The sequence below is a fragment of the Homo sapiens genome, chromosome 1 (genome assembly GCF_000001405.40).
Source record: "Homo sapiens chromosome 1, GRCh38.p14 Primary Assembly".
Taxonomy (NCBI): domain Eukaryota; kingdom Metazoa; phylum Chordata; class Mammalia; order Primates; family Hominidae; genus Homo; species Homo sapiens.
The window spans coordinates 184,606,658-184,631,972 of record NC_000001.11 but is presented as its reverse complement, the minus strand read 5'-3'; the positions used below and the strand labels follow the sequence as shown (position 1 = coordinate 184,631,972).

The 25,315-nt window shown below is 43.6% G+C and overlaps 1 protein-coding gene and 1 long non-coding RNA gene across 3 annotated transcripts in view; one reads left to right on the top strand and one right to left on the bottom strand.

Moving 5' to 3' along the window:
• The first annotated feature begins 1,496 nt into the window (after positions 1 to 1,496).
• Positions 1,497 to 24,514, top strand: LOC107985236 (uncharacterized). Of its 2 annotated transcripts, XR_001738328.3 has the most exons (4): positions 1,497 to 1,589; positions 2,664 to 2,806; positions 20,872 to 21,014; positions 22,952 to 24,514. It is a non-coding gene; the product is annotated as an uncharacterized LOC107985236 (long non-coding RNA). The 2 variants fall into 2 exon arrangements; XR_001738327.3 differs by having other exon boundaries at positions 20,872 to 24,514.
• C1orf21 (chromosome 1 open reading frame 21) overlaps positions 2,954 to 25,315 on the bottom strand; it is a 241,991-nt gene continuing 219,629 nt past the window's right edge. Inside the window, exon 6 of the mRNA NM_030806.4 lies at positions 2,954 to 12,455. Coding sequence (NP_110433.1) covers positions 12,417 to 12,455 — 39 coding nt within the window. The 3' untranslated portion in view covers positions 2,954 to 12,416. The remainder of the gene's footprint in view (positions 12,456 to 25,315) is intronic.

Sequence of the window (25,315 nt, the reverse complement as noted above, 5' to 3'; positions counted from 1 at the left end):
TTCCCATGTCATCTACATATGAAAACTAGAGACAAGGACACAGAAATAGGAGATGAAGCAGATTTGAAAAGCCACCAGAGCTCTGAGAGGAGTGGTGCCCATTCCCTGTCACACCGTCACCGTTCTCACCTGTGGCTGACTGCAGCACCCAAAGCTCAACCAGCTGCAGTCTATCACCAACATGAAGTTGCTCCTAGAGCACTCTTTGTTCCTTTAAAAATGATAAAATAGTACAAGCACGCAGGAGTATAGAGAATATTGTCCCTATGTCTCCATATTTTCTTCAGCTGATGTTTTAAAAGACTAGAACATTGTTAACCCTCACCTGTGCCATTTCCTGCCTTCTTCCTGCTCTTCTGAAATTGGTATTTATGTTTTCCATGTATGTTTTTATACTTTTACTATACATGTAAGTATCCACACATAATAGATATGGTTTTGCAAGCTTTCAAACTTTATATAAATGGTGTCATACTGTATCCTTTGTGTGTTTTTCATTCACTGTTGTATTTCTGAGGTTTATCCCTATTGATACAAGATCAACTTCATTATTATTTATTTATTCATTCTTTTTCTGAAGGGTGCTAAGATTGTGTCCCATTTTTTACTGTTAGAAATAATGCTATAACATTATTTACAATGTATGTTCTGTAGCCATGTCCTTAAACACAGGTGTTCCACTCTCTGTGATCATCGCGTCTCTCAGACCTGCTCCTCACCTGGCCTAGGCTCTGCTCTGGGGTCACCCTTCCTCAGCATGGCAACTTGGCTCTTGAAGACCAAGTTGCACTTGAAGACCAGGTCTTACTCACCAGAATTCTCCCTGGATCATCCTTGTCAGGGATTCCTACCCCACCTTGCCACCCACACCCGGCCCCTCCTAAAGGGAATGTTCTTTGGCAGGAACGAAGGGCATATGTTAGGTCATACGGTGAGGAGACTTCATGTGAGTGCTCAATATTAACTGGAACTCAGAGGAGGCTTGGTTCCCAGTGGGAAGGAGAAATGGGAGAGTTTTCTTGGCGAAGGGACAGCAAGAGCCAGCATAGGCAAAGGAACGTGGTAGTGTCAGGAGAGGACCACGTAAAGAGCTGGCCAGCAGATGGAAGCTGAGTGCTGCTGGAGAGTAGGAGGCTGGATTAGTAACGTGATGTGAACTGAGGAAGTTAAAGGTTTGTGTCCTCCATCAGATTACTGCATTTCAGCTTTGTAGAAGGAAGTGGCAGGTTGGGCAGTGCCAGTGGCAGGGATGATGGTGGCCTGGAGACCCTTGAGGGGCAGAAACAGTGGCTTACTCCTGTGCTTCTGTGGTCTGTTTCCTCACTTTGCCCCATCCATCAAGTGTTGAGGCTCGGTGGAGTTGAGCTTCCTTTTCCCTCCATCACTCACATCCCACTTCCCATCACCTGCTTCCAAGCAAGAGAACTCCAGGTTACTGGCCTCCGGCAGCAGTCCAGCTGTTACCAGTAAACTGGAAGCTGACGTCACTAACAAGCATTCAGGGAGCACCAAGAAGCAGACCAGAGGTCTCCTAAGCTTGACTCCTCTTCGGCATGAGACTAAGGAAGCTCCCCAAGTTCCAGTCAGAGGTACGGGAGACCAGCTTTGTGTGTGTGTGTGTGTGTGTGTGTGTGTGTGTGTGTGTGTGTGTGTGTGTGTGTGTGAGAGAGAGAGACAGGGGAAGGTAGGTGGAGTTAGGGAGCTCTTTCAGCTTGGCTGGCCTTTGTGATTTCAAGTAAGCCTCTGCTGGAAGAAACAGGTTTGTTGTTACTGAAAGAACAAGTTTGGGTCCCAAGTTTCCTTTTGCCTTATTTGACAGCTCATAAAACTCAGCAGCAAATCTGAACTTCCAGCTCCATGGCTTGGAGGAAGAAGCCTAGGAATAGTTATCAACTCCTTCCCCTGTCCTTGGCTTGACCTCCCTCCCTCCCTCCTTCTCACCACACCAGTTGGAAATCATGAAGACAATCTGTTCCCAAGAGCAAGGCTGGAGGGCGGAAGGCTGGCTGGGCTGATGGGACCAACGCTTGTCAGAAATGAACAGGCTCATGCGACAGTGAAGACAGAGCAGAGGGAAACAGCTTTTGGCTTCATGCTTTGACAAAGTGCCCTGAGACCGTTTGTCCATGTGTGTGCGTATTTCTGTTCGGTAAATCCTGGAAGGCCAGTGCAGTGGGAGAATCCATATGTTTTCAGCCTCTAAAACATGCCAGGTAGTTATAGTTGACAGTGGGGTATGTGAGAAACTATATGGTACTGGCCTCATTCTTCATGCTGCCACTCTGGCCTTTGACCTTGGAGTGGGGAATTCCTTAAATTCACACATCCCTGAGCCCCTTTGTGGGTGACCCAGGCCCTGGCATACACTGTACAATTAACAAATGTCAGCTGAATGAGTAGAATGAATAAACAAAAAAGAGTCATTGTGTAACAGAAGGTTGTTCATTAAGCACTTCCTGTGGGATCTCCTCAAGTCAAACTCATGAGAAAATGATTGTTTTTAGTAGGCTCCGGAAGGTTAAATGACTTGTCCAAGGTCTCATAGACAGGACTGTGTGTGTGCACATGGTGTGTGTGTGCGCGTCTGTGTGTGGTGGGGATTGAGCAGGAGAGAAGGCTCATGGCGTTATTTTATGCATTGCCCATTCTTGCACCTTCATCAGGTCTGAATTTGTGAATTTGCTGAGGCTGATAGGACAGTGTGGGCTGTCCCTGAAAGTTGGAGGAGGTGACAACAAGGTTGGGGGCCTTCCATATGGGTGCCTGCTGTACCACATATCCAGTAAAAACAGAACATTTACGAATGGTAAGAGAAGCCCTTATGTACACGAAATAGGGAAGGCAAAAAGAGAGGAGGGACAAGGACACTAACAGGGTCTTTTGCAGATATTTACAATGGCCTCCTCCATGAGAAAGGAAAGAAGAAAGACATAAAAGAGAACAAAGCCAGGCCAACTCTTAAAAATTATTTAATAGAAAGTCCAATGTCAAAATGTAACAATAAACAAAAATACACATGTATAAATATGTATATATAATTAGACCTGTACACTTTCTCAGACCCTTTTCAAAATGGAATAGAATCATCATTACATCTTGGTGGTCAAATCAAAAATAATATTCAAGCGACATGGGCCCACTGCTACGTGGGGGGTAGTACTGCTGGAGCACTTCGAGGGTTCAAAGAATTCCAATCAGGAGAGAGCTGGGGATATTGCCAGTGTCCTTTTCTGGAGACCCAGAGAGGGAAGATGAACAATCAATCGCATGGCTCTGTCCAGTGTACCTGACTTTTGCTTAGCACCTGTAGCCACTACTGTCTAGGGACAGCTCTCCTTTAGGGTTTTGAATTATTTACATTTATGTTGTTTGTGAGTGAGTTTTCTTTCCTCATCTCCCAGATTTGAAGTTCCTGGGGATTCTGCCTTAGGACTTTCTTATTCTGCAGGCCAAATGTCGCACAGTGGTTTGGGATGCTATTTAGGCGTGCTGATTTGCACTAAAGCAAGGGTGTTCAAAGTGGGGTGTGCACATACCAGGAGGTGCCCAAGGTCCCCCTCAGGAGTTCAGAGAGAAAATGCCAGAACCTCTGTTTATAATATTTTGTGTCTTATTCATTTAAAGTTTCTATGCTGTATACTTTTTATAATGTGCCTAATATAGTAGTACAAAAGTAAAGGGATATATGCTTTAAATAAATTAATAAACACACAGAGAGAGTGCATCTCACGAAGTTTTTGCTGACAGGCATGTGTAATTGAAACAGATGGGGGCCCACTGCTTTGGAGAATTCATGTGCAGGCAGAGTGGTTAGGGAGGCCACCCTTCCGGGCTCCCACACTCACCTGAGGAAGCCTCTGCAGGTGTTCAGAAGAGCAATGCCCCAAGATACCTCCCAGACCTGATTGAGAGGTGATGCCTCGTAATCTTGATGCTAGATTTTCCTTGAATATAAGGCCATGTTCCTAAATAAAATGCAAATACCCTTGGGAAGGGCAAATATGTAGCCATTAACAACTGGCATGGAGGCATTTTGATCCCTTCCTGGCAATGAGGTGGAGGTGAGTGGGAAGTGGGCCAGGGCAGAAAATGGGGAGAGGTAAACTTGGCTTATATTCCATGAACAAGCCTAAGGCAAACTTGGCTTATATTCCATGAACACATGGCCCTAAGGGGACCTGCCAGGGGCTCTAGTTTTTAAATGGGTGAATATGAGGCCAAATGTTTGTTGGTTTCCAGCATCAGGATTACCGCTGGACAAATTCTAATCTAAACACCTGGGCCTGCGGAATATCCGAGTGGGCATCGCTAGCCTCAGAATTACAAATTCCTCAGTGAAGAGCAAGAGGAAGATCTGGAAAAAGTGGGTGTTTGAGCTAACATCTTTCCAAGGGTCCAGAAAGCTGGCGTTGCTGTTGAGTATGCCAGGAGGGCAGGGGTGGGTGTTTTGCAAAAAAGGTCAGCCCCAAGGTGCAGCAAGGCCCAGTGCCCCTTAGCTAGGAAAATTGCCTTCAGCACCAACGCCTCCAGCCTCTCAGGGGAACTGTCTTCTGTTTGAGCTTTTTCTTGAGTTTCTGGAAACAGTGTTGGCTTATAGCTGGTATTCTGATGCATCTAATTCTTTTCCTTTCTCCTAAACATTTTTCTAATTATTTTTCTGGGGGTGGGGAGGGGAGAAAAAAACCCAATGCTCTGAACTCCGAGGTTATTTGGAAAACCTAAAAGGCACTGCAAGTTGTCTCCATAGAGAGATTCTGCTTGTCTCTGAGCCTTCCCTGACTCATACCTGCAGAGCTCCCAGCTCTGGCAGCCTCCAGGTACCCACGAGGTCTTCCCTCCACAGCTGTCTAGGCCTATGGGTATTTTCCACTTGCATACAATTTGTCTGTGCTTTTTAAAAATCTCCTTTCTTTGGCAGGACTCGGGTGTGTATTTGGGACCCAGCAGAGGCTTGGCCACCAGGTGTATGTGACCTAATCCAGGGGAAGGCTGTCCAAGAGAGCTGCCTTTAGTTAGGATCACACACTAGACAGGGAAGCCCTCTGCTGCTTCCCGTATATTTATTTTAGGGTGCATTCTCATCCCTGGGTCTAGGCCAGCCTGGTCCCAAACGGTATTTTTCGCCTTAGTGGCTCTAAAGAAGGTCATGCTGACCCAGAGCTGTCCCCTTTGTCTCCAAACCAGATCCGGCCCAGGTTAAAGTCCTTGAATTCAAATAGCTTTTGGCAGAGGAAGAGGAGTTGGGGCTGGGTAAGGGACAGAGGACACCCTGGGATGAATCATCTCAGCAAGCACCCCTGCACTGCCGCAGTGAGCAGGGAAACCCCGGCCCTGATTGTGACCACACCTTACCTGTCTGGAGGACCTCAGCAGTGGGCTGCAGAGGACACAGCACCACCTAAAGCTCTTATTTATGCTCCCTGAATCCCCAGCAAAGCCCCGGGAACCCTCTGTGGCTAGCCTGGCTCACTGCCCCGTCCACGTCCCTTGCTCTTCTCTCTCCCTCTACAAGTCCAAGCTCCAGCCTCTGTACTGCAGGCTGGCCCTGGACAGTCCACACTGGCCCTCCTTTGGGCTGAGTCCTGTGCTATCCTCTCAGCCTGAAAGTCCTTTAGTAACACTCTCCCTCAGTCCTCTGACACATCCGGGCTTTGATGTCACCTCTTTCAGGAAGCCCCTGATTGCCAAAACTGGGCTGGCTGCCACGGTGAGATGCTCCCACAGCACTCAGGACTTTCCCCTGTAGGGTACTTCCATGCTGCCTCCCTCGTTATGGCTAGGTTCCTTGAAGGTGGATTTAGTTCAGTTGTGCTTTGCTGGCAATTAGCGCAGTGCCTGGAGTGTACCAGGGGCTCCAGAAATAAATGAGTTCAATGAATGAATCATCAAGACTGGAAAGGCAATGCTAAAAATGCTATACCTGGGTCAACCTAGATGAAGGGACCCCAACTCCACACACTGGGGTTAGAGCATCCCAGTGGAGCTGCTGAAATGCCAGTCAAGTCCACATGGATGAGGGGGACAGTGTGTGACACATGTGGTGGCTGTATGTGGCTGGACCAGGCACACGCCGTTAGGGATGTGTCTATTATGTGTGTAAGGCCAGGAAAGGATGTCAGCCACAACACCCCGGCTAGCAGCCCAGACGAGTCAAGCAGATGTAGTAGGGCATCCAGGCACAGATGGGGCACAAAGCAAGACGAGTAGCAGACCTCGATTCTCCCATGTGAGTCGAACTCAAACTTTCTCAAGAGTGATGGCTGGTTTTTCCTGTTTCGGTATCCCTATAGTTATACTATTACTTTCCTAGACACTATCTTGGAGATTACAGAAAGGCAAAATACAGCTCTTTCTTGAAGTATTGCAATGATAGAGTAAATTTCCTTTCTCCACGTATCTCTCTGTATATGTATGTATGCGCGTGTATGTGTATGTGTGTTAAGAAAATAGATCCGAATCTAAAGTTCTAATAAGGCAGCTGCCTGGATCTATTCCAGGAAAAGAGTAATTTTATGAATTTGCATCTTGGTTTGAATGGAAAAACTGGCTTGAAATCTATTGCAAAACTTTCTTTGCTTGCTTGCCTGTCAAGAGAGAACAGTCCTTGAAGGTCTAGACTGAAATGCCAGGACACAGGGGCTATTCTCTCCCTTTAGAGTCAATGCCAAGAGGTCCCCCTAAGGCTGTAGAATTATTTTCAACTCTAGAGACCCTAAGGGACCTCTGCCTAAGTTTATGGTGTTCTTTATACTGCCTCTAAGTCTTACTCAATCAAATTCAAAGCCTTGGGCTAAAAATGGAAGCAAAGAAGGGCGAAATCAGGGTAGAGAGGGCAGACACTATCAGAATGAAGCCTTCAGTTTAGAGGTGAATCTTCCCGAAATACAGCAATTTCTGTGGTTCCCAAGTTGTAAGGGCCATTTCCCACATCATCTTGAAGGGACATGACAGCTGCCAGGTTAGAAAGAAGCAGGATCTTGGGGGCCAGATTTCAAAGGAAAACTGGATATGACAGCCCCTTTACACAAGGACATTGTTTTGGTTCCTTCGAGCAAAGTAAGTAAAGGTGGGAGCGGGTCCCGTCTAGGCAGCACCTTTAACAGTTGCTATGGAGACATGAGTCATCTTTAGAGGATGTGATTCAAGAAGCAAGAAGAGGAACTCTGAGGAGTTCTTGGGCTCTTCCGACCTTGGAACAAGTTATTTAAATGTCTATCCAAGTCATTACATGACTATCTAAAACATGTAAGGTCTCGAAAGAGATTTGCATCTAGTTTCAGTGCTTAAATGGACCTGGAAGATGCAGATCCCCAGTCCAAAGATGAAAAAGAGACATCAAACCCTAGCCCACAAGAAAGGATTTCAATGCAAGTCAGTGGTCCAGGCATTGCCTTTCCTCCATGCTTGGAGATCGGATTGTCCCAGACCCCCATGAAGGTCAAGACTTTTAACCTTAAAAAGATACAGTTTGTGATGAAACAACAAGACTTGGGAACCCAGGAAAGAAATCACAGCACTCGAAAGCCTGTTCTGGTTGCATCTGGTATCTAACTGCAGAAATACCAGGTTCCTTTTCCAGATGCTAGAAGGATTCCAAGGAGAGAAACGTGTGCCTAAATTCCCAAAGCCTTTTCCTCAGGGCACTGAAGTCCTACTGTTAGCCAGTGGCCTCCCCTGGTGTGTGTGCAGCTCAGATAGGGGAGGCCAAATAAAACACTCCCCATGAGGAAACCAAGCTGGTGAGAAGCCAGAGAGAGATTCTGGAAGGCAGATGCCCCCAGGGGTTGTTTTCACAGTGTTGCGAAGGGCATAGTCATAATAAAAAGAATTTGAAAAATACTTGAATGACATCTTTCCTTCTTTCAACATGGGCATTTATGTTGGATAGATGCATTCCACACTTAAGATCTATTATTTAGAACACGGGGGTAATAGATCTACTTCACAGGATTATCATGAGGATGACACAAAACAATTATAAAATGCCTAGCACAGTATCTGGCACAGAGTGAGTATAAATGACAAATATTAGCTCCTTTTTCCTCTTCTCCCAAGATTAGATTCCAGATAAGGTACAAGAGTCTCCTGAAAAACATGGCATAGCTTGTGAGTCCTAAGGTTTGTCCCAGAGGTATTCACTCATAAGCCTCATCTTTACCATAGTTTTTTGACCCCTTTCTAGAGACATACAAAAAGGTGACTGCCAAAGTCAAGGATACTATTCCCCCCTTGGAAAAATACATCCATTCATTGGCAAAAGGCAATTCATAGACCTCGTTCATGAAATTCCAAAAGGTTTATTGCAGGCACATGTGAGTGTGACAGCCGACTGCCTAACCCAGCCCCTCACAGGCACACTGGAGTCCAGGCATCCACCCATGACACCATGAGGCCAAAGTTCCTGCTTCGAGCCACCTTTTTATTATGCCCCTAAATACACATTCCCTCCCCACCAATCATGCCTTATTATTTTTTTTGGTTGGGGTTTTAAACAAGAAAAAGTCCAATCTCTGAGAGGTACGAAGACATAAAGCTCTGAGAATGCCTTCCAGCAGGGAAGTGTGGAAGGCAGATCTTATGTAAAATTATAGTGTGCAATCTAATATCCTTTTTCTTTAGGGGAGGCAGGAAGGAGAGAACTTTAGATACCAATTATTTTGCCTTTCATAAAGAACGTGTCAGAGTCCCGAAGTCTAAGATTCCAACTCAGTATTTTCTTGGATTAAGAATTTGAAAATATTTCTTCCTTTAAAACTCAACATGTTTAACAATGTTTCTTTTCTATGACTAGTAGAGATAGAACAATCTTAAATTCTTGCCCAGTGTCAAAGCAGGACTTGTAATCCACATGCCAACCTGCTTCACAGGCTATGAGGTAAAGTTTGTAAGAGGTATCATCTCTGTTTTTTAGCAGGCTTATGGAAGAGTCTTGCCCTAACAGAAAAACAGGGATGAGGCTGGGAAGAGGATAAAGTTATAGCAGGATAAAGTTATAAGAAGATAACAAAGCAGGATGACATCACATGGGACCAAGAAGGGGGCTGCATCATCCCTGGACCTGCTCCTGGGGGCTGTCGGATTGTGGGCGTGGCCGCTTTGGATGCCCAGGTGAGCCCTGACACAGAGGTGCTTCCTCACATTACAGTGAGGAGAGGATGGGGCCAGTACAAAGACTGAAGAACCAGCACTCCTCCTGGGTCCGTCTTTGCTAAGTTGAGTCATCCCAGCCCAGGCTCAGATGATGGGCACTGTGGACGGAGAGAGACCTGTCTTCCAGCAGGCTTCTGTGTGCGTGGCTGCTGCAGTTTCTGAGGGCTGACCCAGTTTTCTCATCTCTGGACTTTATACCTTCTTTGTCCCTAAATAGACCACAACACCACTCTGTGTTCTCTGCAAGCCTGGGGCTAGGAAGCATCGCTGAGGTAAAGGCCTTTTTTAAGGTTCTCTGCCAATAACAAACACGTCTTCAATTATGAGAGCAGTACTCCATGATCCTGAATCTCTGCCAACCAAAAGAAAGCTGTGCACACACTGCTGAACTTTTACAACTCTACAACTCAGAGGACATAAGGCATGTGTAAGCCAGCTGTAAATCTCGTTGACAGTCTTGCCCCACCCACTGGCCACTAGGCAGCTGGATTTCCAATTTCACCCCGGACACGGCCAGCCTATCAACCCTCTCTGCTTAATGCTCTCAGTTCATTTCTCATCATTTTTCTACCTCCACTCACCAGGCCACTTACCCTCCCTTCCTCCTTCCAGCTTCCTGAGCCCTACAGAGATAACAACTAGCAGAGTGCACCAGCACGTACATTGGATTATCCTTTTCATTGTGTCTGAGCCAATCTGCTTAATGTTCAGATACACGTGGGGAAAAAAAGGCAAAATATTTTTGTTTTAGATCCTTTCAGAAGGCACAAAAAAATAAAGTACAAACACGAATCACTTGACAATTTTATGATTAAAACCAACAAATGGAAAACAGACAGTGTTGGGTGTTGCTGACATAATCAAGCATTTCGTGCGGACCCACTCAACCACCCCATTTCTTGGATCTATTTCTGGATGTACCAAATGTGTCTGAAGATGAACTCACTTTCGCACATCAAAGATGTATCCAGTGTTAAACACCGGAGCCAGAACCCAGGTGAAAATCTGCTGGTTCAGGGCAACACCACTTCCGGCTTTATTAAACACTCAAAAGTCAGGTTCCCAAGAAACGCTTGGATCTATGCGCAAGTATAACATGTCAAAACTGTTAAATGTGACCATGAGAAAAATGACATGAGCATGTTTCATCTTTGGGTAGAGGGTGGTGGTTTTCTGGGAAGACACTGTCTGAGACACCGAGTAGAGAAGTCAAATGGAAGACGTTTAGCATGTGCTTAATTCTTGCTTGATAAGAACAAGAAATCCCGGAAAAGGTCACCCACAGAACGGTAAGCAAAGTCCCCAGTGAACAAGTTTGAGGTGGGGCTTAGCAGTTTGTTTACAGTTGTGGAAAACTGTTTTAGTCACTTGGCCAAAAACCATATGAGGGGAGGCAACCTGAAACCCTAGACTACTTGACTCTCCCTGCATTTTTCTGCTAGAAGCAGGATAAAAGGCCTAAAATTTTGGCTGCATCTCTATTTATGTAACAGCCACAGCTGCTCCCCAAAATAGCTGCTGTTGGCCAAAAGAATTACGGGATTTTGTTGCTAATATGTGAATCTATAGTCAATAGCACTCTGCTAAGTTTCCTTCCCTTCCCTTTTGCCGTCCCAGGTCTAAAAGGAGATAGGGAATCTCATTATTTGCACATCAATGGTGCCATCAGTTGGATGTGGATAGATTTTAAAATCGAGGCTCATCTTTTCGGCAAGAGCAAATTGACATAGAACATCTTAACTCTCCACCTTCTGCAGGCGGCAGTGTGGCTAATATTGAGGCCCTTCAAAGTCACAACTCCAAAAGAGAGGAACATACAGTGCTCCTGTGATTTTGTGGGACAAACCCAGACCCGGACTGCTGGCGTGGCATTTAATAGGATGCCCTCCCCTGAAAGTAACAAAGAGAACCCTCGTCAAAGCTATCAAACACATTAAAAAAATACAAAAGTTATTTTCTCCTTTTGATTGCTATTTACTTGTGACAATATTTGTTAAAAATATCACTTCTGTCTTTGAGAAGAGATCATTCTCTTCATATAGTATGGAAAAATAAACTCTGCTGAACACTCAGTCAACATTCCCCACCACTGCCAGGGGCTTTTGGCTTTCACATCTCCAAATACCATCATCAGCATAAAAGTATTATGTTTTTGAGTAGGCAAACACTTTTGCTATGTCTAGTGTGCTGGAAGTAAGAGAAAAAGGAAGTGGCAAGGCTCATGTAGCATTTTGAAGGGGGAGAGTTACAAAATAGGATGGTTTATTTGCTAACAAAATGAAAGGTAACAAGGTGGTTTCAGGCCTTCCTAAAAAGTCATAGGATGTCCCCTCACCTCTTAGACCACTTTCAGCCTTGCTAATGCTTGGTAGATTCTTAATGGAAGGGTAGGGAGCCCTATAGGCTAATTATCAGTGTCAATGCAAAGGAGGGCTCAACTTCTGCACCCAGGATCATCTTAAAACACTGAGCTGGATGAATGGGAGAAGACAAGGATCCATAAAAACAGTAAAATGTTTATTTTCTTAGAAAAAAAAGTGAGGAAGAGGGATTCAAAATGATTGTGATCACACTTCCATCTGCATCTGAGCAAAGCCAATGTTGCAAGCTTAATTCTTGATTAAGATACCTATTAAATCAAACAACCTGCCACTCACTCCTACGTCACTTCCAGGAGTCACATCACAGCATGCTTTTAATTGATAATAGCTTCTCTACTTCTTCTGAGCAGAGAAACAAGGCTTGGCATAGCAACCATCCCATCTCCAAAGCTCAACACTGCCAGTGAGAAGCAAGGCTCAGTCCATCTCTAGACTGCGTGCGAGAGATGGGGAGGAAGGAGAGAGGGCAGGAGATGCTTGTCTTAGAAGCAGAACCAGTTTAGAAGAGAAGTTTGTTATCTGAGTTCACCACTACCTCATCTTATAGAAAATAGGTTGGAGAGCATCTGTAAAACCAACAGTATCTTTAAGGTGAAATTGCAGAATTTTGCTGCATACCTGGACACAAGAGAAGTGAAAAGTTGCAACAAGTTTTAACTAGCAGCAACAAAGAAAGTTCGATAACAGTTTTTTTTGTTTGTTTTTAGCAATATTCCTTTGCAAGTTCATTAAGAAACACTGTAATTTAATGGGGCGTACAATATGGAACGATCTTCTTTTGCTATAGTGCTGTTCGCTGAATAGAACCGACCTTTGCAAAGATTTCAACTGGGGTGTAACCTATTTACACAGTAGTAGCTCCTGGTTTGAGTGGTAAAATTGGTGCTATGTGATATCCTCTTCTTCCGAACAGTAATCCCGACCCTTGGAGGGAAAAAGAAAAAAGAGCATGTGAATGAGAAATTCAAAGCAGAGCCTGAAATAGTTACTTGTAATCAATTTTCTCTCAATATATGTCTCCTTGCAACAGAATCCAGGCTTTGTCAGTGATAGCTGGCACAGGGGTAGCTACGTCATAAATACATGTTAGCCAATTTATAAGCTATATATACTTCAAGGCATGACAGTTTTACCAAGCCCCAAATAAGCCCTTACTTTATGTTGGTAAGAATTTATATTATAACAGCCATATTCAAGAGTCAGCCTTTCACTAAGAAATTACCAAATGGCCAATCCATTCAGGAGATCAATTTCTTATCAGGAAGAATGAACAAGCCACATTCTACAGCTACATCCCCGTGCCTGAAAATCAACATTCTACAGACAGCATACAATCCAGGGATGTCTGAGTTTAATTCACTCTAAAACGGATTACAAAAAACAACAAACAAGAATCCTTAAACACGCATAACAGGTCTGTGCTTGGTATGTGTGGGATGCACAAGAAAGGCAAAGATGCTTCTGATTCATTTGCTAACTAAAACAGGTTATCTGAAGCTCTAAGGACTATGTACAATGGTTATTTGTGAACATATTTTATCCTCTCTCCTCTAGGTCATAAACTCAATGAAGACATGATTGGGGCTGGGCTTTAAGGATCCACATTTAACCGAGCTGGCTTGTCTTGGTCAAAACACATGACTCTCTTGGTCTGTAACCCATCACAGGGCACCTGCCCTGCCTGTGTCCGATGTCATAGATAAGGGTTTTGTAAAAAGTCAGGTGTTATTATTATTTGTTTCCTTCAACTTTTTCTTTTTCTTTTAAAATACACACTACATGTTTCATTTTTCTTGGGGGGGGGGAATGTTCTTTTAAAAGCAGAACTTATTTCTAAAAGTACCAATACTTAACGATACTAATAATAATTTTGCATATAACTATTTCTCAGATGTATTACATGTTTTTTGGTCACATTATCTATATAACAGAAATATTTTACATTTTCCTAATATTTAAGCATTATCAAAATGGATTATTTTGTGCCACGTGGCTGGGTGCTAATCTTGACTCTGTGACTTCCTAGCTCTGGGATCCTGGTAAAATTACCTCTCTGTGTCTCAGTTTCTTCATCTGTAAAATGAAGAGAACAATAGTACCTATTTCACAGAATAGTTGAAGATTAAATGAGTTAATAGTAATAAAGTGATTAAATCATTTCTGGCACATACTTTTACACATGATGTATATGTGCCCATGCCCGTGTGTGTTTGGCAAATTACAAAATACTGCTGGCTGGACACGGTGGCTCACGCCTGTAATCCCGCACTTTGGGAGGCCGAGGCAGGTGGATCACCTGAGGTCAGGAATTTGAGGCCAGCCTGACCAACATGGTGAAACCCCATCTCTACTAAAAACACAAAAACTAGCTGGGCGTGGTGGCGGGCACCTGTAGTCCCAGCTATTTGGGAGGCTAAGGCAGGAGAATCGCTTGAACCTGGGAGGCAGAGATTGCAGTGAGCCAAGATCGCACCATTGCACTGCAGCCTGGGTGACAGAGTGAGACTCTATCTCAAAAAAAAAAAAAAAAAAAAAAACAACAACAACAAACTGCCACACAATGAAGTCTTCAGGCCTGTGGAAGCAGGTGGGGCTGCTCACTCCCATGCCAACTGGCCCCAGATTGCTTGCTCCCTTAGAATGGGATTCACCCCTTAGCATGTTTTGGTTTCCTCCATCATCAGATTGCTAACTCCCACCCCTACCGCTTGCAGAGTGTCTGAGTCCAGTGTCATCTCTAGGCTTGTTTTACTTGCTGCACAAAACCTCTCCTGAGCAGAGAAGCTGGGTAACCAGTCTTCCTGACATAAGGAGTGTGTACTTGCCAGTCATCCCATGGGCAGCCTCCCTGGTGACACTGCCCAAGCAGATGCCATCCCTAGCCTTGGCCCAGAACACTCAGGAGACATGCTCTGAGTCACACACTGGAGAGCTAGAAAGAACTTAAAGGTGCCTGGCCACTGGGGATTTATTTTTTAATCTGGGGAACAAGACACATACAAATGTATCCACACAATGCCATAAATATCAGATGATGCTCTCCACAGATCCCCAACTCACGAGGCTCTGAGAGGTAACTTACAAATGGACCCAAGTATTCAGGTGGAGAGGAAAGGTAGGGCTCATGGAGTTTTCCTGAAGGTTTTATTAGGAAAGGAAAGTGGACATCTCCAGTGTATATATGTACATATACACTGTTGTTTGACAGCGCACAAATTGCTGGGCTTTGGTTTCCTGGGGATAATCACGGTCTCCATCCCATAGGGTTATGGTCAGGATTAAATGGAAAAAAATATAGTGTCTGGCAAGTAGTCAATAAATGTTAGCTAATGCTACTATTACTACTACTGCTACTATTATTGTAATTGTTGTTATTATAAACTCTGTGTTTGTTCAGTCCCCCTGGCAGGGGAATAGGGACCTCCTCCCTTAGTGGCTGTCAGGTGAGTAAGGACTATGACCATAAGCTGTCATCTGATAGGTGTCAGGGAACTCTTCCTCCCACCTCAGCCTTGCACTCCAGACAGGCCAGAAACCGATGTACATGAATAAAACTTCTACGGCAGAAACCGAAGTCCCTCTACTACCTGTGACTAAATGAGGCCTCAAATCAAAGCAAAGTCTCAGCCAGCCAATGTGGAGTTTAGAGGGTGCTTCATCCATGAGGAAGAACGTGGAAGGAATGGCAGACAGATACACACACACACACACACACGTGCACACAACACACATACACACGTGTGCACACACAAGCACACACACGTGCACACATGCACACACATGCATACATGAAAGGTGGTGTTCTCATTGTCTTCAATTTGGTAAATGAGTTTCTGGGTTATGTAGTAGAAGGACCATTTCAAACCACAGTAAAGGCTCCCCAACCCCACCTTTTGAGGGACAAATACAATATAAACCTTCTTTGTAAACACAGGACTCTGCAACTTTCATTTCCCAAGCATTGGCTACTCTGAAATTATTATCATTACTAAACAAAGGAGCAAGAAAACAGCATTAGCTGCTTTGCAGATATTATTTTACGTACTATTTATATCAGTCCTGCAAGGCAAAGAGTGAAGCCCTAATGCTTGCGGGGGAAGCTCAGAGAAGCGCAAGCCCACAGGGCTGCTCCTTGCCTTTGTTACAACTGCAGTGATTTGGTAACTAAATTCAAATTCAATTCAGCTTCATTTTTATTATCACCTGTTTCAGCAGCACTGAGAAGCAACTTCTTTGGTAACAAACTTTGAAATCAAAACACATTGAAAGTAAGATATGGCCATAAACCATATGGCCATCCAGTGCCGTTCTAAGAAAGGAGACCTGAGAATGGTGATTACCAGAGGCGATTACCTTGTGCAAAGGATAGTAGGCTTGGGGCAAGGATGAAGAGGGGATGGTTAAGAAGGAATACATTCTAGTGTTCAACAGCACAGTAGGGTGACTAGAGTTAGTAGTAATATATTGTATATTTCAAAGTAGTGAGAAGATTTGAAATGTTTCCAACACAAAGAAATGATAACTCTTGGGTATGATACATATACTAAGTACCCTGATTTGACCATTACACACTGTATGCATGTATCAAAATACCACATGTACCCTATAAATACGTACAATTACTATATGCCATTTTAAAAATAAATAAGTAAATAAAAATAAAGGGGATTTGAGAGAATTGTCATTGGAGGGGCCCCATCTCAGCATCACAGGGGACCCCATCTGCACACTGGCCCTACTGGGCAGGACAGGGAGCCTGCTTCTGTAGCATGACTTCATGTCTCATTTAATTTTTAAAGAACTGTGCCAAAAAGAGAACCTGAAGACCTTCAGCTGTCAGAAAGCAGGAAGTGGGAGCCGGGTTTGGGAGATACACAGCAATTCTTCGCAGAAGTATGCCCTTCCCCCTTAAAGGAACCCCAAATGGAAGTCTTTGTCAGGATGCGTTACTCAATTAGAACTGGAGGATCTTAGTCACAATCCCACCCTTGTGCAAAGGACACACTGAAAGCTGCAGAGAGCAAGATCCCTAGGAGGCCCTCGAAAGCTGGGAGAACAGAAACTCCTAGTGATGGTGACAAAGAAGGCTTGTTTGAAAGAACCATGAGTGCCTTCGGGTGCAGACTCAAAAAACCCCAAGGAACCTTTGCCTACCAAAATTTTTCCGACCACACCCTACTCTGTGTAGAGGCTTCCACGTCTTCTTCAGTTATCTGTATTATTATCCTCCTGGAAGTGTAAGTTGATGTCAGTGCAGAACACACATTTCTAAGGTTCTAGTGTAAGGGGTTTTTGTTTGTTGAAGTGTGTCTATAAGAATTAGAAGTACTAAGGAAAGGACATCATCCTAATTTTAAATCCTGCTAGTTTAAAGAGCAACAGCTCAAAGAGTGACTTTAAGAAACTGTTCCTCCAATGTGCCTAACGTACTTTTCCTCCACAGGTTTAAAATAGACAAATAGTCTAGGCCAGGGGTCCCTAGTCCCCAAGCCATGGACCGCTACTGGTCCATGGCCTGTTAGGAATTAGGCCACACAGCATGAAGTGAGCGACAGGCGAGTGAGTGAAGCTGAGCTCTGCCTCCTGTCAGATCAGCGGCAGCATCAGATTCTCATAGGAGCACGAACACTACTGTGAACCGTGCATGTGAGGGATCTAGGTTGTGTGCTCCTTATGAGAATCCAATGCCTGATGATCTGTCAGTGTCTCCCACCATCCCCAGATGGGACCATCTTGTTGCAGGAAAACAAGCTCAAGGCTCCCACTGATTCTACATTATGGTGAATATGTAATAACAGAAATTAAGTGCACAATAAATGTAATGTGCTTGAATCATCCTGAAACCACCCCCACCCCGCCCCACCCAACTCCCCATCCATGGAAAAATTGTCTTCCACAAAACCAGTCCCTGGTGCCAGAAAGGTTGGGGACTGCTGGTCTAGGCCTTGCCATTCAGTGTCAGGTATGATTCATCATATATGTTTTTAGTATGTTTCTATAGACATGTATGCATTCAGCCCAATACACACATCCCTCAGACATGTAACAATCAGTGTGAACTGAGTATTCTCCCACTGGAGTAGACTAGATGAAAGTGACTGAGAGGAAGTGTTGAATCTGTTTCTCCATCTGTAAAATGGGGACAATAAAACCTAACTTGCAGAGTTGTGGGAATTAAGCATATACATGAAAGTGTTTAGCAAAGCTAGGCACATGGTAGGTGCTTAATAAATTATAGCTCTTACAATGATACTGAAAAATGAGACCAACTGGTCCAACAGAAAATAAAACTGTCTAGGTGAGAAATGGGGCCCACATCTCAATCAGTCAGTTCACATTCAGATCCTCAAAGAAGCCAAGTACCAAAGGGCCTCGGTGCTTCTCACTCTGTCCTGGCTGGCTTCTCCTGCTCCCATCTCTTTATTTTTATTTCTTCAGAGAGAGTCTTGCTCTGCCACCCAGGCTGGAGTGCAGTGGCATGATCTCAGCTCACTGCAACCTCCACCTCCCAGGTTCAAGCAATTTTCCTTCCTCAGCCTCCCAAGTAGCTGGGATTTCCCTGTAGTTGCCCTAGGGAGAAACAGTCTCTTCCCTTCTCAGTGGTCCTTCCATCGCACCATCATGTTGTATAGAATTTTAGGCAAAATGTTTGCCTCCCTTACTGAGGGGGAAAACATGTTTCTTGTCCATCTTTGTATTTTGGGTACCTAATGGAGTCCTCGTGTGGCCCATATCCAAGGGTTGTGAACACTCTGGCTTTGGAGGGAAGCAGTGCTGGGGTGTGGGGGTAGCAGGGTGGAGGCTGTTAAATGGTATTACACAGAAAGTGTCCTGGTACTTTAGTAAGGGAAGAAAACCATCAACGTTTTGCACATCATAATGGAAGATGCAGCCTTTTTAAACAACACAACTGATAATAAGTTTTGAGCAAAACTATGCACACAGAATAGGGCATAGGCCCTGTTACATGAATAGCTTGGAACTTAGGAGAGGGGCAACAGGACTGCAAAGAGAGGCAACCAAAGTTGATACTAGAATCCCACTGTCCATTATTCATTATTTGTATTTATTTAAGTACAGTTGTCTCTGCTTATCCATGGGGGATTTGTTCCAAAATCACCAGTGGATGCCTGAAACCTCAGAGAGTACTGAACTCTACATATACTATATTTTTCCTACACATACGTACCTAACTATATAAATTAGGCTCACACCTGTAAGCCCAGCACTTTGGGAGGCCGAGGTGGGTGGATCACTTGAGGTCAAGAGTTCGAGACCAGCCTGACCAACATGGTGAAACCCCATCTCTACTAAAAATACAAAAATTAGCTGGGCGTGGTGGCGTGCGCCTGTAATCCCAGCTACTCGGGAGGCTGAGACTGCAGATCACTTGAACTCAGGAGGTGGAGGTTGCAGTGAGTCAAGATCGTGCCACTGCACACCAGACTGGGTGACAGAGTGAAACTCTGTCTCAAAAGAAAAAAAAAGGAAGGAAAAGGAAAAAGAATTAGGCACAGCAAGAGAGTAACAACAGTAACAACTAATAATAGAACAATTCTAATAATATACTATAATAAAAGTTATGTGAATGTGTTCTCTCTCTCTCAAAATATCTTAGTGTACTATACTCACCCTTCTTCTTGTTGACTCTGGGTAACTGAAACAGTGGATAAAGGGGACTACTAATACCCACATAAATCACATGTGGAATCAGGTCCAGTTCTCTTTCCATAATGTTCAGTGGGCTTTTTTTTGTTTTTTGAGATGGAGCCTGGCTCTGTTGCCCAGGCTGGAGTGCAGTGGCACAATCTTGGCTCACTGCAACCTTCGCCTCCCGAGTAGCATGCACCACCACGCCTGGCTAATTTTTGTATTTTTAGCAGAGACAAGGTTTCATCATGTTGGCCAGGCTAGTCTCAAACTCCTGACCTCAGCTGATCCACCTGCTTTGGCCTCCCAAAGTGCTGGGATTACAGGTGTGAGTCACCACACCCGGCCTCAGCCAGGCATCTTAAACTCTGTCTTTTGCTTTCATCATAAAGTTCTGAGTTAAAGAACCTCATGGGTAGGGCAATGGAGTCAGCAAACAAGTCCGGTCAAGACTCTTGGGTTTGTACAAAGCAAACATGAAGTTTTGTAATAAAGGCTCATGACAGAAGTTCATTTTAATGAGGCTTCTTTCTGTCTGGAAGTGTAAGCTGTTATGCTTGTGATAAAGCAGGCTCTTGTTGGCTTGGTGACTAGCTGAAGGATCACCTGAAGAATTTTTCCTCCGCTCCTTTACCTGTCTGGATGACACTGGGAATCTCTGTTAGTTGCTGGACTGTGCATTATCACTAAACTATATTTCTAATAACACAGTCACTGAGATAATGCCTTTTGTTGAATAATTTCCTCATTCAGTAAGGCTTTTAAAAAATTATAAATTTTTTTATTTCAGTAGCTTTTGGGGTACAAGTGGTTTTTGGTTACATGATAAATGACACAGTGGTGAATTCTGAGATTTTAGTGCACCCATCACCCAAGCAGTGTATATTGTACCAATATGCAGTTTTTTACTCCACATCCTCCTCCCATCCTCTCTGTTCTGAGTCTCCCAAGTCTATTATATCCTGAGTCTCAGTTTCTTGACTTATTGTTATCCTTCCTTGACAGCCTTTATCCTGTACTGTGGGACTTAACTGCTTTCTGAGTGGCAAACAGCATCCTGATTAATGAAGCACAATTGCCCCACCTGCATTCTGGTGCATAAATTTAATAGGCATCTCCCTCCTCTGTCCACCTAACACCCTTTATCCCCTAACCCCTTCCTCCATGTTTTACCATCCAGAGGCAACCTCAGATCCAAGTTTCCATAAGAATCTGTATGTTTCAGCTCTGTCCTTGAACCAGGACTGCAGGAGCAGATAACCACGTTCTGCAGCTTGAGCATCTGTGCACGACTAGCTAGAATCCAGAATACACAGGAAGAGGAGGCTGGAAAAGTGAAAGGAAGGCTATCCCCAGGGGCTGCTGGGCTTAAACCACCGCCTGCAGGGCTGCAGGGCCCTCCTCCTGTAGGAAGCAGGTGCCTTCCATCCCTTTCTCAGGGCTGGATGTGTCAGAGCCTCTTTAATCACAGAGCACTTTTCAGCAGCATTTTCGTTTATAGTCAAACAACAAGTCATAAGAACAGTTTTAAATGCCAAAGACATACTGAAGAAAAGCAAAAAATAATTAGCTGTGCTGTTAAAGTCTCCTCCCCTGGATTACTTCATTAGAAAAATCAATCGAGGCATTAATGGCTTTCTCCGTCTCTAATGAGCTTTATTCTAATTAGACTCACGTGTTATTGTTTCAGCTGGAAAAAGGTCTCGTTTGTAATGAGCAGTGGAGTGTGACAGCCTCTGACTGTTTCTTTGACCATATATAGGAATGATCACCGTGATAATAACAGCAGTGACAACAATCCCCGGATATTGGGCTTTTCATTTCCAAGAGAGAGTAAGTATTAACTAAACAGCTTCGAAACCCCCATGAAGTGTTTATTATACCCGAATCCCCATTTCACCAACAGTAAGGAGGATATTTTAGAAGCCTTTTTTTTTTTTTTTTTGAGTCAGAGTCTCGCTCTGTTGCTCAGGCTGGAGTGCAGTGGGCGATCTCGGCTCACTACAAGCTCCGCCTCCCAGGTTCACGCCATTCTCCTGCCTCAGCCTCCCGAGTACCTGGGACTACAGGCGCCTGCCACCATGCCCATCTAAATTTTTTTGTATTTTTAGTAGAGACAGGATTTCATCGTGTTAGCCAGGATGGTCTCGATCTCTTGACCTCGTGATCCGCCTGCCTCGGCCTCCCAAAGTGCTGGGATTACAGGCGTGAGCCACCGCGCCTGGCCTAGAAGCTTTAAGCCACGTACTTTTCAAGCTTTATCTGAGGCTGGCACTTGGATGACTTCAATGATGTTCTTTCCCCACAAGGAGGTGAGCAGGAGTGAGGATAAAGACATGGAGAGATAATGCAGACGACCACGTTCTCTTGGCCATACTGAACTGATGTCCGAGAGCAGGCCTTGGCAAACTTCCTCTGGGAAGGGCCACAGTAAATATTTTAGGCCTTCCATTCCATATGGTCTCACTGCGCTTCAACTCTGCCATTGTAAGCTTGAAAGCGGCCATAGATAAAAGTAAATGAATGAGTATGGCTGAGTTCCAATAAAACTTTATTTATGGACACTGAAATTTGAATTTCATGCTGTTTTTCACATGTCACAAAATAGTCTTCTTTCATTTTCTCCCAACCATTTAAATGTGTAAAAACCATTTTTGTCTCGCAGGCTGGATGTGGCCTATGGGCCATAGTTTGCCTGCCCTGCCCCAGAGAACAGAATTAACCACCAGTAGCATCAGAGGCTAACACTGTTCAAGGGTTTTGCCCTCTTTAGAGCTCAAACAGCAGGGATAATTTCCACCTTGAGAGACATCTCTCCAGAGCTCTTCTGCAAAAACTGTTCTTATTTTACAAACATGAAAACATTGAAAATCAAAATTAAATGGAAAAATTCATCTCCAACAGCATCTCTTCCCAATCAGTCTTCAAATTTCATTTCAATCTTTGTCCATATGCATGACATTTTTATACCATTTTAATCCTATTATAGACACAGTGTTTTAGTTTGCTTTTTTTCACTTAACGTTATCTTGTAAAATTCTTCCCTGTTGTGACTGATTTCTTCTAATCAGACATATCATAATTTTTTGTGGAATTTTTTTGTGGAAGATTTCCATGCTATTTGTTGGACTTAATTAAAAGGGATGTCTTAGTGTCTTCTCAAGTGTAACAGTTAAGATGCAAATGCTACCACCTTGCCCTCAAGCCAGGAAACCTGGGAAAACCCACTTGGTAGACTGGAGCCTCACACACCTCCCCCAGGATTCACTTCCTTTTGGACAATGGCTTTAGCAAATCTGGCATTTTAATTCATTTGCCTCTTGATGTGCCTTCCAGACAAACTCTTTAGAGCTCTTTGCTCTGAAAGAGCTCTCTGTTCCACATACACCCTAGAATTTATGTTGAACTTGGATGGAGGTTTGGGGAGACTAATCACACATCTCCTTTCATTACAGTTTTTAACCAGGAAATACAGAAAGAGTTAGATGAGGATCAGTTTTCTTGCTGGATTAGAGAACTTGGTAGGTCCCCATTAGTCCCTTGCCTCACACCTGCTGAGACCCTCTGGATGGTGACTGACTCATCCAGTCACATGTGGAGAAAGAAGAGGTTGGGTTTGCCCCTTCACTGTTCCATGGGCTGGGCCTCTGGAGAGGGAGAGGTGAGGGACATACTTTAAGTTGGTTCCTTTCTTTCCTCTCCACAAAGGGGGGTGACACTGTTTGAGGGACCACAGGGCTCACCTTCCCTTCCTTTCTCTTTGCTTTCAGAATAGGAAGCACATGCATTTGGCCAGGAAGAAGACTTCAGCTATTGATGGGAGGGCCCTCTTTCTAGAAGGCAGAGAACAATGGACTAGCCAGACAGGAAGGAGAGAGGCCCAGAGCGCAGTAAGGAGTGGGCATCTGGGACCCAGGGTTGGGAAGAACACTTCTGTTTGGCTTCCTTCCTCTTCTAGGGCATGGCTAAGGTGGCCAACCTGCATGCACCCCAGAAGAGGAAGATAAGTAGGCCCATGGGACTTTATTATGGAGCCTGAGGCTTTCACTGGCCTGATTAATCCATTTTCTGGGAATGAGCACTTTGGGAGGATAACAATCAAAGGATCCCCAGAGGACACGTGACAGGCTGGGGCCATCAGAACTACTGATCCGTGGGTACTATCCGGCTTACTGAATTATGAAACACAGGTTAAATTAAGGGTTGTCACACATTTGGCTAATTGGCCAATAAGAACAGCAATTAATAGAGGTCAGGCAATTCAACTGCATCTGTGGCCATGACTATCAGAGCCCTTGGAAACAGCAGTGATTTCAAGTGAAATCTAAATCAGCAGTGTTTCAGGTGACCTAGAGCAGGGCCCACGGCCCATAGCCCATATGTTAGCACTTCCTGAAGGTTTTCTTCCACCCAAATCCACATGTTGGGACCCAGGGGAAGGTGTAGCAAAGCCAGTGACCACTGTGTAATCTTTGTTTTTTCTATTTGACACTTTGTCAAAAAACACATTCCTGTTTTCATAGACTTCTTTTGATTTTGAGAAATTTAAAAGATACAGAAAAGTATGAAGAATGTAAAGACACTATATTCCCACCACTAGACATAAGAACTAGTAATATTTTGTACCATCTCCTGCTAGCCTCTGCCCTCCTTCTAAGAAATGAAACTACCACCCATTTCTCATTCCCCATCCCCGGGCACAGCAATGTTCATGGGTTTGGTCGGTTTGTATGTTTGGTATCATTTTAGATACTTTGATATTCATCTTATATCGATATAACAAATATACTACACTTTTATGTGTATATGAATATTTAAATATATAACAGATAAAAACACATGCCATTTGTAAATATGCCATGTAAAAACTGATGGTGCTTAATAAATATTTGTTGAATGTCCATCTATAAACAATGTATTTGTGTGTTTTTAATGTACATGGTATCATACAATTTTTATCATTCTGCATAATCCTCTCTTCACTTAATAATTGTATTTGAAATCTATAATTGTGACTCTTTCTCTCTATATATGTATATATATACACACACATATATATGTATATATATACACACACATATATGTGTATATATATACACACACATATATGTATATATATACACACATATATATGTATATATACACACACATATATATGTATGTGTATATACACATGTGTATATATATATCTATATGCTTGGTTTATGTCTCTTAACTGCTGCATAATATTGCACTGTATGAATATGGAGGATTTTAATTATTCATTTCTCCATGGGTGGATACTTAGTTTTCTTCCAGTTTTTTGGCTGTTGAATAAAGAATGCTGCAGTGAACTTTATTGTAGTTTAATTGATGGTTTTTACCGGTTTGCACTAATATTACTTCTTTATATATTATGCCTACAAATCATTTGATGTTTTAAGTGTTATAAATATATTCCAAACTCACTCTAGATCCACACCTGGGAATCATCCGGCCCATTAATAAGGTAGATACTGACCATGATACTCATCCGGCTCCCTGTGCCTGTTTTCAATTTGTAAGAAGCCCAGAAGAGAGGCAGGGTATGATTATGCATCTCTAAGCAAGCCTCCAACAATCAATTTTGTAAATATGAGCTTACAATTTTTTGGTACTCCTTTTTGAATCAACTTAGAAAAATGGAATTGAAGTGAGGGGAGTCTAGAAGTGTCTGCTCCAAGAATGCTTTCTCTAGGAACAGAGCAGAATGTGCCTGCACTTGATAGAATTGTGAAAGAGAGGAATAAAGTGCACCAGAAATAACATAATACTTCAGAATAAATTTTTCAAGCAATGTTCAGAACATAATGTGCCTCATAATTCCTTCCCAGCTGATATAAACGGGAATGTCTCATTCTTTGCTATGGAGGGTGCTGTTTAGTGGGAGATGAAAAGTTGAGGGTAAATTGGATAAGACATTCTCTAAAGTTCCTTCCAATGCAAAATGCTATTCTTCCAGATTTGAGGCTCCCTAAAGACAAGAATCCTATTTTATCATTCCTCATTATGTGCCTCTCATGGCCCTGGCTCATTTCTAGGTCCAGAGAACATGTTCATGTCAAGCTTATTAAATGGATCAAAGAAGTCAGTCTTACAATTTCTATGATTTTGTT